The sequence below is a fragment of the Homo sapiens genome, chromosome 2 (genome assembly GCF_000001405.40).
Source record: "Homo sapiens chromosome 2, GRCh38.p14 Primary Assembly".
In the NCBI taxonomy this organism is placed as follows: domain Eukaryota; kingdom Metazoa; phylum Chordata; class Mammalia; order Primates; family Hominidae; genus Homo; species Homo sapiens.
This window is the reverse complement of record NC_000002.12, coordinates 9821405-9836686: the sequence shown is the minus strand read 5'-3', so window position 1 is coordinate 9836686 and position 15282 is coordinate 9821405. Positions and strand designations below refer to the sequence as shown.

At 42.4% G+C, this 15282-nt stretch overlaps 2 annotated features.

Moving 5' to 3' along the window:
* Nucleotides 1866-2074: a silencer, noted in NCBI's record as "fragment chr2:9974742-9974950 (GRCh37/hg19 assembly coordinates)". NCBI's record gives its function as "represses an EF-1alpha promoter that drives an FKBP-Casp9 reporter gene in an ReSE screen in phorbol 12-myristate 13-acetate-treated (for megakaryocytic differentiation) K562 erythroleukemia cells {active_cell/tissue: K562(+PMA)}" and the evidence as "EXISTENCE:reporter gene assay evidence [ECO:0000049][PMID:32094911]".
* Nucleotides 6076-6615: an enhancer, noted in NCBI's record as "H3K27ac-H3K4me1 hESC enhancer chr2:9970201-9970740 (GRCh37/hg19 assembly coordinates)". NCBI's record gives its function as "activates a minimal SCP1, AML or CMV promoter by ChIP-STARR-seq in naive H9 embryonic stem cells {active_cell/tissue: H9 hESC(naive)}" and the evidence as "EXISTENCE:reporter gene assay evidence [ECO:0000049][PMID:30033119]".

The following is a 15282-nucleotide window of genomic DNA, read 5'->3' as shown; positions in this document are numbered from 1 at the left end:
GTGTGGAGATTACAGCCTTCATGGGATTCGGGCTTAGAGAGAGCCAGGGAGAGAACTTCCTCAGTAGGGGCCCTACCCAGGCCCCAGCCAGGAATTGAGGGCTTCATTGGAATAGTGGATGCTCCATGACAGGAGGGAGGCTATGGGGGAAGGAAGGGACCAAGGGGATGATTTGGGGCCTGAGGACACCAGGGTGCATGGGACTCCCTCTTTTCACTGTTCTTGTTTAACCTCATCTCCGTTTAAGGGGACATGGTCGTTAAAACCCACCACACACCTTTGAGTCAAGGGTACTGACGTTGATTTTATTAATAAAGTGAGAGCTAATGCATGTTTAGCATTTTGTGAGCCAAGCACCAATCTAAATGTATTTTGCTCATTTGAAGTTATCATCATCATCATCATCACCCCATTTTACAGATGAGAAAACTGAAACAAAGAGAAGTCATTTAAAATTTATGTAAGCAGCTGAGCCAGTGAACAAAAGAAAGCAGCCTGGTGGGGACACACACCCAGTTTGAGCCACCATACTATGACCCTCTCAGGAAGGATTAGGCTCAACCTAACTAAATGTGACATTTCACCAAAGACTTTTGTGACTTAGCCAATAAAAAGATGTTGAATAACAAGCTCAGATGAAATTGGATAAGGATCCAAAAAAAATTTTAATACAATTGTTCTTAGTCCACCAGAAGCTCAGGAACAATTCATTATCATAAAAATATTGTTATTTAGAGAAATTCTCTATTTTGAGACTCTTAGTTACCTAGAAACCACTGATTTGAAGGGAAGTTACTGGAGGATTTTGGAGCATTTCCGTCTGTCAAATCATAACTCTGATTAAGTCATCATCTCATTAGTGAGAATGTATCAAACAAAAGATCATACCAACAACTTGTTTTTCTTTTTTAAACTTTTAAAAACTTTTTCGATTTTTAATTTTTGTGGGTACATAGTAAGTATACGTAGTTATGGGGCACATGAGATATTTTGTTACAGGCACACAATGCATAATCCATCATGGAAAATGAGGTATCCGTCCTCCCAAGCATTTATCCTTTCTTACAATCCTTTCTTCCAATTACACTCTCTTAGTTATTTTAAAATGCACAAGTAAATTATTATTGACTACAGTCACCCTGTTGTGCTAGCAAATACTAGGTCTTATTCATTCTTTCTATTACTTTTGTATTCATTAACCATCCCCACCTCCCTCTTCACCATTCCCTGCCCCTGACCAACTACCCTGCCCAGACTCTGATAACCAATCTTCTACTCTCTGTCTCCATAAAGTGACTTGTTTTGATTTTTAGATCCCACAAATAAGTGAGAACATGTGATGTTTGTCTTCCTGTGCCTGGCTTACTTCACTTAACATAATGACTTCCAGTTCCATTCATGTTATTACAAATGACAGGATTTCATTCTTTTGCATGGCTGAATAGTACTCCATCGTGAATATGTACCACATTTTCTTTATCCATTCATCTGGTGATGGACACTTAGGTGGCTTCTAAATCTTGGCTATTGTAAACAGTGCTGCAATAAACATGGGAGTGCAGGTATCTCTTCAATATATTGATTTCCTTTCTTTTGAGTATATACCCAGCAGTGGGATTGCTGGATCATATGGTAACTCTATTTTTAGTTTTTTGAGGAACCTCCAAACTGTTCTCCCTAATGCTTGTACTAATTTGCATCCCCATCGACAGTGTTTGAGGGTTCTCTTTTCTCTACATCCTCACCAGTGTTTGTTATTGCCTGTCTTTTGGATATAAACCATTTTAACTGGGATGAGATTGTAGGTTTTTGTTGTTGCTGTTGTTGTTGTTTGTTTGTTTGTTTGTTTTGAAACAGAGTCTTGCTCTGTTGCCCAGGCTGGAGTGCAGTGGCGCAAATTCAGCTCACTGCAACCTCCGCCTCCCAGGTTCAAGCAATTCTCCTGCCTCAGCCTCCTGAGTAGCTGGGACTACAGGCACGTGCCACCACACCCAGCTAAATTTGTATTTCTTTGGTAGAGACAGGGTTTCACCATGTTGGCCAGGATGGTCTCCATCTCTTGACCTCACGATCTGCCTGCCTTGGCCTACCAAAGTGCTGAGATTACAAGCGTGAGCCACCGCGCCCAGCCGAGATCGTGGTTTTGATTTTCATTTCTCTGATGATTGATGATGTTGCACAGTTTTTCATATACCTGTTTGCCATTTGTATGTTTTCTTTTGAGAAATGTCTATTAAAATATTTTGCCAATTTCTTTATTGGATTATTAGAATTTTTTTCCTATAGAGTTGTTTGAGCTCCTTATGTATTCTGGCTAATAATCACTTGTCAGATGGATAGTTTGCAAATATTTTCTCCCATTCTGTGGGTTGTCTCTTCACTTTGTTGATTGTTTCCTTTGCTGTGCAGAAGCTTTTTAATTTGATGTGATCCAATTTGTCCATCTTTGCTTTGGTTGCCTGTGCTTGTGGGGTATTAATCAAGAAATTTTTGCCAAGACCAATGTCCTGGAGAGTTTCCCCAATGTTTTCTTTTAGTAGTTTCATAGTTTGAGGTCTCAGATTTAAGTCTTTAATCCATTTCAATTTGATTTTTGTATGTGGTGAGAGATAGGGGTCTAGTTTTGTTCTTTATTGAAGAGACTGTCTTTTCCTCAGTGTATGTTCTAGGCCCCTTTGTCAAAAATTAGTTTGCTGTAGGTGTGTGGATTTGTTTCTGGGTTCTCTATTCTGTTCTGTTGGGCTATGTGAGTGTTTTTATGCTAATAGCATGCTATTTTGATTACAATAGCTCTGTAGTATAATTTGAAGTCAGTTAATGTGATTCCTCCAGCTTTGTCCTTTTTGCTTAGGATAGCTTTGGCATTCTGGGTCTTTTGTGGTTCCATATAAATTTTAGGACAGTTATTTCTATTTCTGTGAAGAATGTCATTGGTATTTTGATAGAGATTGCATTGAATCTGTAGATTGCTTTGGGTAGTATGGACATTTTAACAATATTGATTCTTCCAATCCATGAACATAGAGTATGCCTCCATTTTTTGGTGTCCTCGTCAATTCCTTTCATCAGTGTTTTATAGTTTACATTATAGAGATCTTTTACTTCTTTGGTTAACTCCTAGGTATTTAATTTTGTTTGAATATTGTAAATGGGATTGGTTTTTTGATTTCTTTTTCAGATTGTTCACTGTTCACACCAATTATTTCTGAAAACCAATAAATGACTTAGAGTATTAGGCTGATTTGATGTGTGCTCTGTGTTATATTAATATCATTTTGTAAGCAGTTTTTTTTTCTTTTTTTCTTTTGAGATGGAGTCTTGCTCTGTCACCCAGGCTAGAATGCAGTGGCACAATCTCGGCTTACTGCAACCTCTGCCTCCTGAGTTCCAGCGATACTCCTGCCTCAGCCTCTGGAGTAGCTGGGATTACAGGCTTGTGCCACCACGCCCAGCTAATTTTTGTATTTTTAGTAGAGACAGGGTTTCCCCATGTTGGCCAGGCCGGCCTTGAACTCCTGACCTCAAGTGATCCTCCCGCCTCGGCCTCCCAAGGTGCTGGGATTACAGGTGTAAGCCACCACACCCAGCCAGCAGCTTTATTATATAGATAAATATAGTTTGGTTCATTTGGAAAATAGAAGATAATATATTTAAAATTTTTGATTTATATAGAAACTTATATATGACTATGCATTCCTCTACCAGTTGTTAAATATGGGTATTTTGAATATTCTGTCTGGGACCATGGTTAGGTATTTTGATCTAATTCTAAGTCAGTGGAAAAGTCATTGAAGGATTTTGAGCAGAGGAATGATGCAGTCTGATTTACGCCTACTCAGGCTGACTATAAAGGATAAGGGCACAATGGAGATGAGTAATTGGGAGGCTGTACCAGGAATCCAGCCTAAAGATGTATGTGGTGCCTGTTAGGACACTAGAGAAGGGCAATGAGAAACAGATGTGTTTTGAAGGTAGAGCCAACAATGGACTGGATGTAGTTGTGAGCAAAAGAGAGGAATCAAGGATGCCATGCTGTAGTGAGTGGAGGAGACTACAAGATCACTGTGAGCAGATATTGGGGTGAAAACTCAAGATTTGGGACAAAATTTGACATGTCTATTGGAAATACAAGAGAAAATATTGAGGAGGAAGTCAACACATGAGTCTGGAATTCCAAGGAGATGTTCTGGCTGGAGATATGAATTTGGAAGTCATCAGTGTCTATGGGGAATATAAAGCCATGGACAAAGTGAAGACACCTAGGAAGTGAGGGTAGATGGCAGGTGGGAGAAGACAGCCCAGGGCTAAGTCACAGGACACCATAGCATTAGATGTCAGGGACAGCAGAAGCATCCAGCAAAGATGATGGAGAAGGAAGAGAACCAGAGGAGTGTGGTGACCGGAAGCCACATGAAGCAAGTTTCAAGAAGAAAGAAATGTCAAATGCTATTAAGAGTTTGAGTGAGTTCAGCATAGGACTCAGCAAGATACACAGCATTGACACGGTGATTTCAGGAAAGTGATAAGGATGAAAGTTTAATTGGAACAGGTTTAAGGCAGAATGGGAGGAGGGAAAGGGGACACAAGTGGTGACAACTCCCTGAAAGGGGGAGCAGAAACTTGGGCAAGAGCGGAAAGGAGCTGAAGGGAATATGAACGACTGCAGCATTTTGTATGCTAGTGGAAATCAATCGTGGGTTACGTTGGAGAGAGGCAGAATTACAGGAGTGAGCCCTTGAGTGGTGAGACGGATAGATCTGGCTCTGATGAGACCACCCCAGGGGCTGCATTATTCTTATGTGACCAGGTCACGGGAATTCAAGGAATGTGGCCACAACTCAGCTAGGCTGCATCCCTGATACCCTGATATTCAGGTGTGGCCACATTGGAGCTGGTCCCACTGCCTCCTCCTCACCCCCTGATATTGCCAACATCCCAGGACTTAGAACTCAGGACAAGTCAGCTAAAAGTTTAGCTAAAGAGGTGTGGCAATAGCTAAATGCTACCTTGAGGCAGCAGAGCAGGGTCTCTGGACTCAAGAGAGTAGATTTAAGTCCTGGCCCTCCTACTTCCCTGCTAGCTATATGGCCTGGACAAATCGCTTCAGTGAGTCTCAGTTTTCTTATCTGCAGTATGGGGGTGATAACTTTATCAAACCACCTTATGGGGCTTGAAGGCACGAATGGGATGATGGATATACAAGGGCTTTGTCAAAACTTTGTACACGGAAAAGTGAGGTATAAAGACCATAAATTGTCATTAGGCTTATTTTACCATATCATCCCCTGTTCATTCCCACAAAACAGCTTTGTGGAGGAGGCATTTCTGAAGACAAATTCCTGTGCCACTCCATTGTGGGCTGAATTTTCACTAGACTTTACGTTTTTGAAAGCTAAAGAGCAACTCTTGGCTCATTGCAAGAGCCTCCCTATTTCCTCACTGACATAAGCGTATATCACGTCAAGATCATCAGTCAAAAGGGAGGGGTAGACATATGATTATCTTCAAAGCTTTCTGGGAGCCTATTAAATGCTAATCACAAGGCACAGGGATGATCCAGAAAGCAAACATCATCCTTGCTGCTTCTCATCCACCCTCCATGTTCCTGCTAGAGAGAAGAGAGTATCCAGCACTTGCCCTCTGAATGGATCCTCCAGGCGCTCCAAGGCCTGCTGGTAGCCTGGTCTGCCCATAACTGAAACTGAAACCACTTGCAGTTTGCATAGCCCTGGGGAAGGATAAGGAGTGCGTATTTGCTAGGCACAGACTCTGTCAGGCACTGTACCAGGCCCATTACCCAAATGATCTCTTAACTGTTGTCATTAAACAGTAAAGGAAACTGAGGCTCAGGAGGACTAATCAGGTCACCCAACCAGCAAGAGGCCAAGAGGGAACTTAACTCAGTTCTGCCTGTTCCAAAGAGCCTACTTTTTCTGCTAACAGACCAAGTGCTTAATAAAGGTTTTTTTAGTGAATGAATGGATGAATGAATAAAGTACTCTGGATGCAAAATCACTTTGTCAAAGGAGCTCAACAGCCAGAAGGCACAGCCCCAATTAAACAGAAGCAAAACAACCTTCTAAGAGTGTGGCTTAAATAACTCAAGAGTTTCCCAAACTCAGGAGCGATAAGATCTCAGGCAAGTTGCAGAACCTGTTGGGGACTGGTTTATTCCATTTATAGGCTTGGGGCAAACCGGTCTTGCTCCTCCCTCCCTTCCAGGAAGGAGAGTAACAGAGCCACAGAAGTCTCATTTTAAATAAAAGTCTAGGGCTGGGCACAGTGACTCACGCCTGTAATCCCAGCACTTTGGGAGACCGAGGTGGGTGGATCACAAGGTCAGGAGTTTGAGACCAGCCTGGTCAACATGGTGAAACCCCGTCTCTAATAAAAATACAAAAATTAGCTGGGCATGTTGGTGTGTGCCTGTAGTCCCAGCTACTCAGGAGGCTGAGGCAGGAGAATCACTTGAACCTGGGAGGCGGAGGTTGCAGTGAGCCGAGATTGCGCCTCTGTACTCCAGTCTGGTGACAGAGCGAGACTCCATCTCAAACAAACAAAACAAAAAACAAACAAACAAAAAACAAGGGAGTAACCAAGAAAAGAACACATGGACCAAGATATCAGGAAGCAAGAGATCCAAAATATGGATGAACCCCCAGGATGATGGGGACTAGAAACCAGAATGACATCCACCCAGCATCCAGTCTCAACAGAATAAATGGAAGAAAGGCTGGCTCTGAGAAAGAGGTCTCTGGGAATTAGAGGAATATATGCGATGTTTGAGATAATGGAAAACATTACTGATGGAGTTGAGGCTGACTTGTTGGGGCATTAGGAAAAATTAATGGTGGGTGTGTAGAAAATCAGACAAATGAAAAAAAGGTGGCAAATGAACAACTCTAGTAAAAATGAAGAACTGAGGAAGAAAGGTGTTATGGGCATTAAGTTACTGGTTTTCTAGTGAATGACATCTGCACAATCATAATAAAGTATATCCTAACTACTGATATAACTAACACTGTTTTATAACTATATTGGGGGGATGGTGAAGAGGAAGTGGGGAGATATGGGAGATCAGAGACCTTATTCATCATTGTGGGAACTCATTCACAGTCTCAAAATGTCCATGAATATGCGAAGGAATAGGGATAACTCCAGCCCCACGACTTTAACTAACATCTATAGGACTTCCAAATTTAAGATGATGAGGGAAAAATGTTCCCACTTATTTTTTCTCTGAAAAATTACCCCAAAATAAGAAAAGTAACTAAACAGAAACACAAACTCTATCCTTGTAACAGCAGACATGGCAGTCCTGAACCTTTAAATGTGAAGCAGCTAAGTGGCTAGAGGAATGACAAAAAAGTAGACAAAGAGGAATTCAAATGTCAGCAGAAGTAGAATTTATATACAACAACATTGACCGATTTTAGGTGTACAATGATGAGTTTTGACATCTGTATACAGCAGTGCCACCAGTACCAAAAATGTAATTTTAAATTCTATACCCAATCCCGTAACTGCTAGCAACTACTGATCTGCTATCACTATAGGTTTGCCTTTTCTAGAACTTCATGTAGTGGGCGCATACAGGGAGTTGTCTTTTTTGCCTTAGTAGTGCTTTGCAATTCATCTATTTTGCTGCATGTATCAGCTCATACCTATTAATTGCTGAGTAGTATTCCACTTAGTAATTTTTCTTTATCTATTTACCAACTGATGGACATTTGGATCACTTCCAGTGGCTACTCTGAACAAAGCTGCTGTGAAAACTCAGGCACAAATCTCTGTGTAGACATGTTTTCACTACACTTGAGAAAATATTTAAGAATAGAATTTCCAAGTCATATGGTAAGTGAATAGTTAACTTTATAAGTGAATGCTAAACTTCTCTCCTTTCCTTTCCTTTCCTTTGCTTTGCTTTCCTTTCCTTTCCTGTCCTGTCCTGTCCTGTCCTCTCCTCTCCTCTCCTCCTCTTCCATCCCCTCCCCTCCCCTCCTCTCCTTTCCCTTCTTTTCTTTTTCTTCTTTTTTTTTCTTACTTTTTTTTTTTTTTTTTTTTTTTTGGGACAGCATCTCACTCTGTCCACCCAGGCTGGAGTGCAGTGGTGCAATCACGGCTCATTGCAGCCTAGCCCTCCTGGCCTCAAGCAATGCCTCTACCTCAGCCTCCTGAGTAGCTAAGACTACAGGCATGTGCCACCATGCCCAGCTAATTTTTTATTTTAATTTTTTTTTTTTTTTTTTTTTTTGTAGAGACAGGGTCTGTCTATGTTGCCTATGCTGGTCTTGAACTCCTGGGCTCAAGCGATCCTCCTGCCTCAGCCTCCCAAATGCTGAGATTACAGGCATGAGCCCTTGTGCCAGCCTAGGCTAAGCTGTTTTCTAAAATGATTGTACAGTTTTGTATTCAGCAGTGTATGAGAGTTCAAGTTGTTCCATTCTAATGCTTGGCATTATCAATCTTTTGAATGTCATCCATTTCAGTGTGTATGTAGTGGTATCTCCTTTTGGTTTAAATTTACATTTCCCTAATGACTAATGATGTTCAGCATTTTTTTCATGTGCTTATTCGACATCTGTGATTTTTTTTGATAAAATATCTGCTCAAATCTTATACACAATTTTAATTGTCTTTTATCATTACTGTGTTGTGAGAATTCTTTTTTTTTTTTTTTTTGAGACAGTCTCACTTTGTTGCCTAGGATGGAGTGCAGTGGTGTGATCTTGGCTCACTGCAACCTCTGCCTCCTGGGTTCAAGTGATTCTCCCACCTCAGCCTCTCAAGTAGCTGGGATTACAGGCACGCACCACCACACCAGGCTAATTTTCGTATTTTTAGTAGGACGGGGTTTCATCATGTTGGCCAAGCTGGTCTCAAACTCCTGACCTCAGGTGATCTGCCCACCTCAGTCTCCCAAAGGGCTGGGATTACGGGCATGAGCCACCATGCCCAGCCATGAGAATTCTTTATATATTCTGGTACAAGTCATTTATATAGTCTGGTACAAGCCAATGAGACTTGCCTTTTCATTTTCCTAATGGTGTTTTCAAAGAGCAGACATTTTAATTTTTGATGAAGTCCAAATTTGATGTAGTTTTGTATTTTCTTTTGTAGTTTTTGCTTTTTGTGCCCTATTTTTAAAATAGTTGCCTTGCCCAGGATCACTAACATTTTCTTCTGTTTTTTTTTAAAGGTTTATAATTTTAGCTCTTACATATAGTTTATGATCTGCTTCAAGTTAATTTTTGAATTGGTGTGAGGTAAGGTTAAGATTCATCTTTGTACATTGAGTCAACCAATGATTTCACTACCTTTTATTGAAAAGATTGTCTTTCCCCCCATTTAATTGTCTTGACACGTTTGCTGAAAATCAGTTGACCATATGTGTGGGTGGGTCTATTTCTGAATTTTATATTCTGTTTTATTGATCTGTATGTCAAAATTTACTTGAATACCAAACTATCTTGATTACTATTAGCTTCATAGTAAGTTTTGAAACCAGAGAGCATAACTCTTCCAATTTTGTTCCTCTTCACAATTGTTTTGGCTATTCTATGTATAAAATTTTTTAAATTTCTTATTAAATTTCTTTCTTTATTTTATTAAAATTGAGATGGGGTCTTGCTATGTTGGCCAGGCTGGTCCCAAACCTCTGGGCCCAAACAACCTTCCATCTTGGCCTCTTAAAGTGCTGGGATTACAAGTGTGAGCCACCACACCTGGTCTGCTTATTAAATTTTTTTTTTAAAAGACCTGCTAAGATGTTGAATATTATTGTATTGCATCTAGAGAATCAATTTGAGGGAGAACTAGCGTTTAAAGAATATTGAGTCTTTCAATCCATGAGTGTGGTATATCTTACCATTTACACTCACCTTCCTTCATTTCTCTCAGTAATGTTTTATAGTTTTCAGAGTATACCTATTGCACATATTTATTAAATTTATTCCTATTTCATAACTCCGTATGTGTGTGTGTGTGTGTGTGTGAGAGAGAGAGAGAGAAAGAGAGACAAAGAGAGAGAGAGAGGTTCCTTTATGTTCTGAAAGTTTAGCAAAAGAAAATTTGTTAATTAAGGATTGCGGTTAGCTGAATTCCAGTTAGGTAAGATTTTACCATATTTGGTACTCACAATAATGCCTTCAAATTATATCACACCCCATGTTCAAAAACCTTTATTGGGAAATAATCAATTTACAAAGGGAATAATTGGAAGCAACTGGATGGGCTGATTAGATAAGTGATGTTCTCTTCTTGCAGTGCAGTCATACAAATCACATTATGCAACAATGATTTTCAGATGGAGTCAGGGTGTCTTACCAGGTCAGGCAGGCGTCACGTCTCCTGCTTCTGCTCTGATCCCGGGAGCTCTATTTTTACCCATTTTGGCTCTTGAGGTCCCTAGTAAAATTTTATTTCAAACAGAGCTCCAATGAAAAAAATTTTTAAAGATCATTATTGAAAAAGAATTTTTAATGACTGAGAAAGATGATAATAGAATTATAAGCAGATTACAAAAGAATGTCTCTTATGTCCCTTTTGGGGGAAAAAAGAAGAAATACATGTATAGGAAACAATCAGGGCTGGGTGCAGTGGCTCACGCCTGTAATCCCAGCGCTTTGGGAGGCCAAGGTAGGTGGATCACAAGGTCAGGAGTTCGAGAACAGCCTGGCCAATATGGTGAAACCCCATCTCTACTAAAAATACAAAAATTAGGTGGGTGTGGTGGTGGGTACCTGTAGTCCCAGCTACTTGGGAGGCTAAGGCAGGAGAATCACTTGAACCTGGGAGGCGGAGGTTGCAGTGAGCCAAGATCGCACCACTGCACTCCAGCCTGGGTGACAGAGCAAGACTCTGTCTTAAAAAAATAAAAAAGAAAAAGAAAAAGAAAAGAAAACAATCAGAAGGCTACACATATATAAAAATATTTATAACAATTATTTCTGTGCAACTGGCTTATGAATTATTTCTAGATGTTTGTCCTCACTTGTATTTTTCTAAATATATATAGTGTAGCATGTATTATTATTCTCTCATGAAAACAGAATAAACTAAAATTCCTTAGTATGTTACTCAAACTCTCCATCATCTGACATAAAATGTTTTTCTAGACTCTTTGCTAAGCCTCAATTCATCAGGGTCACGGGTTCTAGCCTCAAAGAATTATTCACTGTTTCCTGAATACACCATATGTTCCCTGGTCCACACCATTTCAAGGGCTATGTTCTTAGTCAAGAATTCCCTAATCACGCACTACCACTTCCTATAGGAATTCAACCACTCAAAATATATATAATAAAATAAGTTAAAGCAGTAAACAATATTCAAGTATACTACACAGAGAGTATAACCAGTTAAAGAAAAAAATGCAAAGAGAAAACTGGAAGGAACGCTGTAAATAATGCATAGTGATGGCCCCTGCATACTGGGATTATAAGCTTTCTGGTTATGTGTTTGTTTGGCTTGGCAAATCACTTTACCCTCTGAGTTTTTGATTCCTTGCAGCCTGTGGTAAGGATTAAATGAGAGAACGTGAATGTGCTCTGTAAACTGTAAAGGGATGTTGGAATGTGAGCGACACATTTGAAATGTGAACTGTGTGAAGCTGTCCCCTTTGAGGCTGAGGCTCCATCACCCCACATTGTCTACCATGCCCCATTCAACAAATGGCTGCTGATTTAAATCTTACACTAATTCTGAAAATAGAGCAAAAATCCCTTTGCATCCTGAAATGTTAACAATAGACCTGAGATTTCACAAAGGTCTGTGCTCCAGAGGGCCTAGGATTTTCATCAAGATTGGATTTTCCTCTGCTGTTCCCAGGACTTGTGGCCTTCATAAGCCATCCAGTCCCCAGGCCAGTAATCCATGGACTCTGGTACAGCCCAGGGGTGCCCTTCAGTCTTATTAAAAATAGAAAACTCTAGGCCAGAGAAACACTTACACTGAAGATGGCTCTGGAGCCCTGGGCAGAGTCACTCACTCCCCACCTCTCTAAGCAAGGTGATGCCTAGAACAACCTGTGTGCAAGTCCACCTGCCCATGGCCCTTATTAACCGAACAGACTCCAGGAGCACCGAGAGGATGGCCGGCCACCACCTCCCATTCCTCAGAGGGGACACTGAAGTCACAAGTGGGGAAGCAACTTACCAAAAGCATATGCTAGTTAGTGCAGCTAGCTGGCACTGGAACCAGAGCCTACCCAAGTGTTGTTCATTTCAGCTGAGATTGCTTTAGGGAAGCAGGGATTCTACTCTGCTTGATACCCTCAGCACCAGGCACAGCCTGGCCACAGCTGGTCCCCCTGAATCTTTGCTGGACACAACTGTGCATATGGAGACATCAGCATGTCACTTTCCTTGACACCCAACTACTGCCCCCAGAAGAGATTCTTTCCAGGCTAAGAAAGACCCCGCTGCCTGTCCAGGAGTGGGGCTCAGTAAGCCATGAAGTGATTTACAAACATCGGCCACCATGGTTTATTACAGGTAGAAGCAACAGTGAAAATCACGACGGTGAGACCAAGCAAAGCAGATGGACTGAAGGACAAGGACAACTCTGCCCAGCAGAGGGAGGGGAAGCCCAGGCTGGACTCCACGTGGCCGGAGCTTCCAGGGTTGGTTTTTATTTTATTTTATTTTATTTTATTTTATTTCATCTCTTTTTGAGACGGAGTTTCGCTCTTGTCGCCCGGGCTAGAGTGCAGTGGTGCGATCTCAGCTCACTCCAACCTCCCCTTCTTGGGTTCAAGCAATTCTCTTGCCTCAGCCTCCCGAGTAGCTGGGATTACAGGTGCCCACCACCACACCCGGATAATTTTTGTATTTTTAGTAGAGACCGGGTTTGACCATATAGGCCAGGTTGCTCTTGAACTCCTGACCTCAGGTGATCCGCCCGCCTTGTTGGGATTACAGGCATGAGCCACCCTGCCTGGCCCAGGGTTGGCTTTTAAAGACAGAAATCCTTACTTTTAAAGACATCTTTGGACTTCTTTTTTTTTTTTTTTTTTTTTTTTTTGAGACGGAGTCTTACTCTGTTGCCCAGGCTGGACTGTAATGGCACAATCTCAGCTCACTGCAACCTCTGCCTCCCAGGTTCAAGCGATTCTCCTGCCTCAGCCTCCCGAATAGCTGGGATTACAGGTGCCCACCACCACGCCTGGCTAATTTTTGTATTTTTAGTAGAGACAGGATTTCATCATATTGGCCAGGCTGTTCTCGAACTCCTGACCTCAGGTGATCCACCTGCCTCAGCCTCCCAAGGTGCTGGGATTACAGGCGTGAGCCACCGCACCCAGCCGTCCTTGGACTTATAAATGCTGACTCAGGATGCTTTAGAACAGCGTAAGGCCAAACAAAATAAGTCTAACCCTGGTGTCCAGTAGTCTGCCACCTCCAGGATGGACATCTCTCTGACTGATGGCAACCGAGTCTAGGCTCTTGACACCCAACTACTGGGGCAAAACCTCTGGGGTGTGAGGGAAAGATCGCTGCCAACAGAGGGACCCGCTTCATCTGCGTAAGCCTCAGGCTCCTCATTTGCAAGACAGAAACCATAATATCTACCCGTAGGGCTGTTGGGAGGGTTAAATAAGGTGATGTAGGGGAAACCGTAAAACAATGTACCGAGTGTAAATATACAAATAATAATGTCAGTATGTAATATCTTTAAGCCACTAAGGTTAGATGATTCTGGGTTTAAGATCCACAACCCTGGCCAGGTGCCGTGGCTTAAGCCTATAATCCCAGCGCTTTGGGAGGCCGAGATGGACAGATCACTTGAGGTCAGGAGTTCAAGACCAGCCTGGCCAACGTGGTGAAACCCTGTCTCTACTAAAAGTACAAAAATTAGCCTGGTGTGGTGGCGTGTGCCTGTAATCCCAGCTACTCGAGAGACTGAGACAGGAGAATCGCTTGAACCCGGGAAGCAGAGGTTGCAATGAGCCAAGATCGCGCCATTGCATTCCATCCAGCCTGGGCAACAGAGCCCAGAGACTCCATCTCAAAAAAACAAAAACAAAAACAAAAACGAGACTATTTTGGGGGGATAAGCATTTGTGAGTTCAGAATGAACCACGTCCACATTGCAGTCTCCACATATCAGAATTTTCATACAAAGGGCACCATGTGGAAGAGAGAGAATGGAGTGTTGCCACCACAGGGCCATGTGTCTCGGGGTAAGTTCTTTCTTCTCTCTCTGGGTCTCAGTTTTTCCTCAAGAATATGAGTGATTGAACCAGCCGCCTTCCAGCTCCGAAGTTCTTAGATGTTAGCCTCCACATCAGTCCTGTTTAACAAGGGCGAAGGCAACAGATGCAGACGGGCTCCTCTGGGGTCCCATTCTGGCATTTCTGGCAGGCAGGAGAGAAAGGAACCTGACAGCCTGGAATCTTCCATGCCCTGACTCACGCCAGCTCAGCTTCACAGTGCCCGGCCTGTGCCCTGCCCTGGGCCCTTTCTACACGGACGGCTGGCACAGCAGCCAGGCCCTCATGAGCTGGTGCTGTCACGTCACAGCCCCAAGGCCTCTGCCTTGTCCCCAAGCACAGGTGACCCAGGAACAGGACTCTTTGAAGGAGTTGAGGTGGGGGCTCAGTACAGACATGGGCTGCCTTGGCCTAGGATTGACTTCTCAAATTAAAGTCAGACAGATGGGCTGCTGGTGAGGGCCTTGTGCGGCCTCCTAACACAGCAGGGGGCATCGCAGGGCAAGGGTGCTCTCCAGGTAAACAACCCACTCCTGGGATAATCCATTAATCCATTCACCCACTCAGCAGGGTGGATCCCTCACCCAATCACCTCTTAAAGGCCCCACCTCTTAATATGGAAACATTGGGGATTAAGTTTCAACATGAGTTTCGGAAGGGACAAACATACAAATCACAGCCACCTGGGTCTGTACTTAGGACCAGATCACCGGTAATAGTAATCACAGCAAAGTCATCCCTCACTGTCCATGGGGGATTGGTCCCAGGACCTTCTGTGGATACCAAAATCCATGGATGCTCAAGTCACCAATAGGAAATGGTGTAGTATTTGCATATAACCTACTCATGTCTTCTGTATACTTTAAATTATCTCAAGATGACTTATAATACCTAGTACAATGTAAGTGCTATGTAAATTGTTGTTATACTGTATTCATGTCTTTTTGGGTTTTTGTTTGTTTGTTCGTTTTGAGATAGAGCCTCATTCTGTCACCCAGGCAGGATTGCAGTGGCTTGATCTCGGCTCACTGCAAGCTCTGCCTCCTGGGTTCAAGAGATTCTTGGGCCTC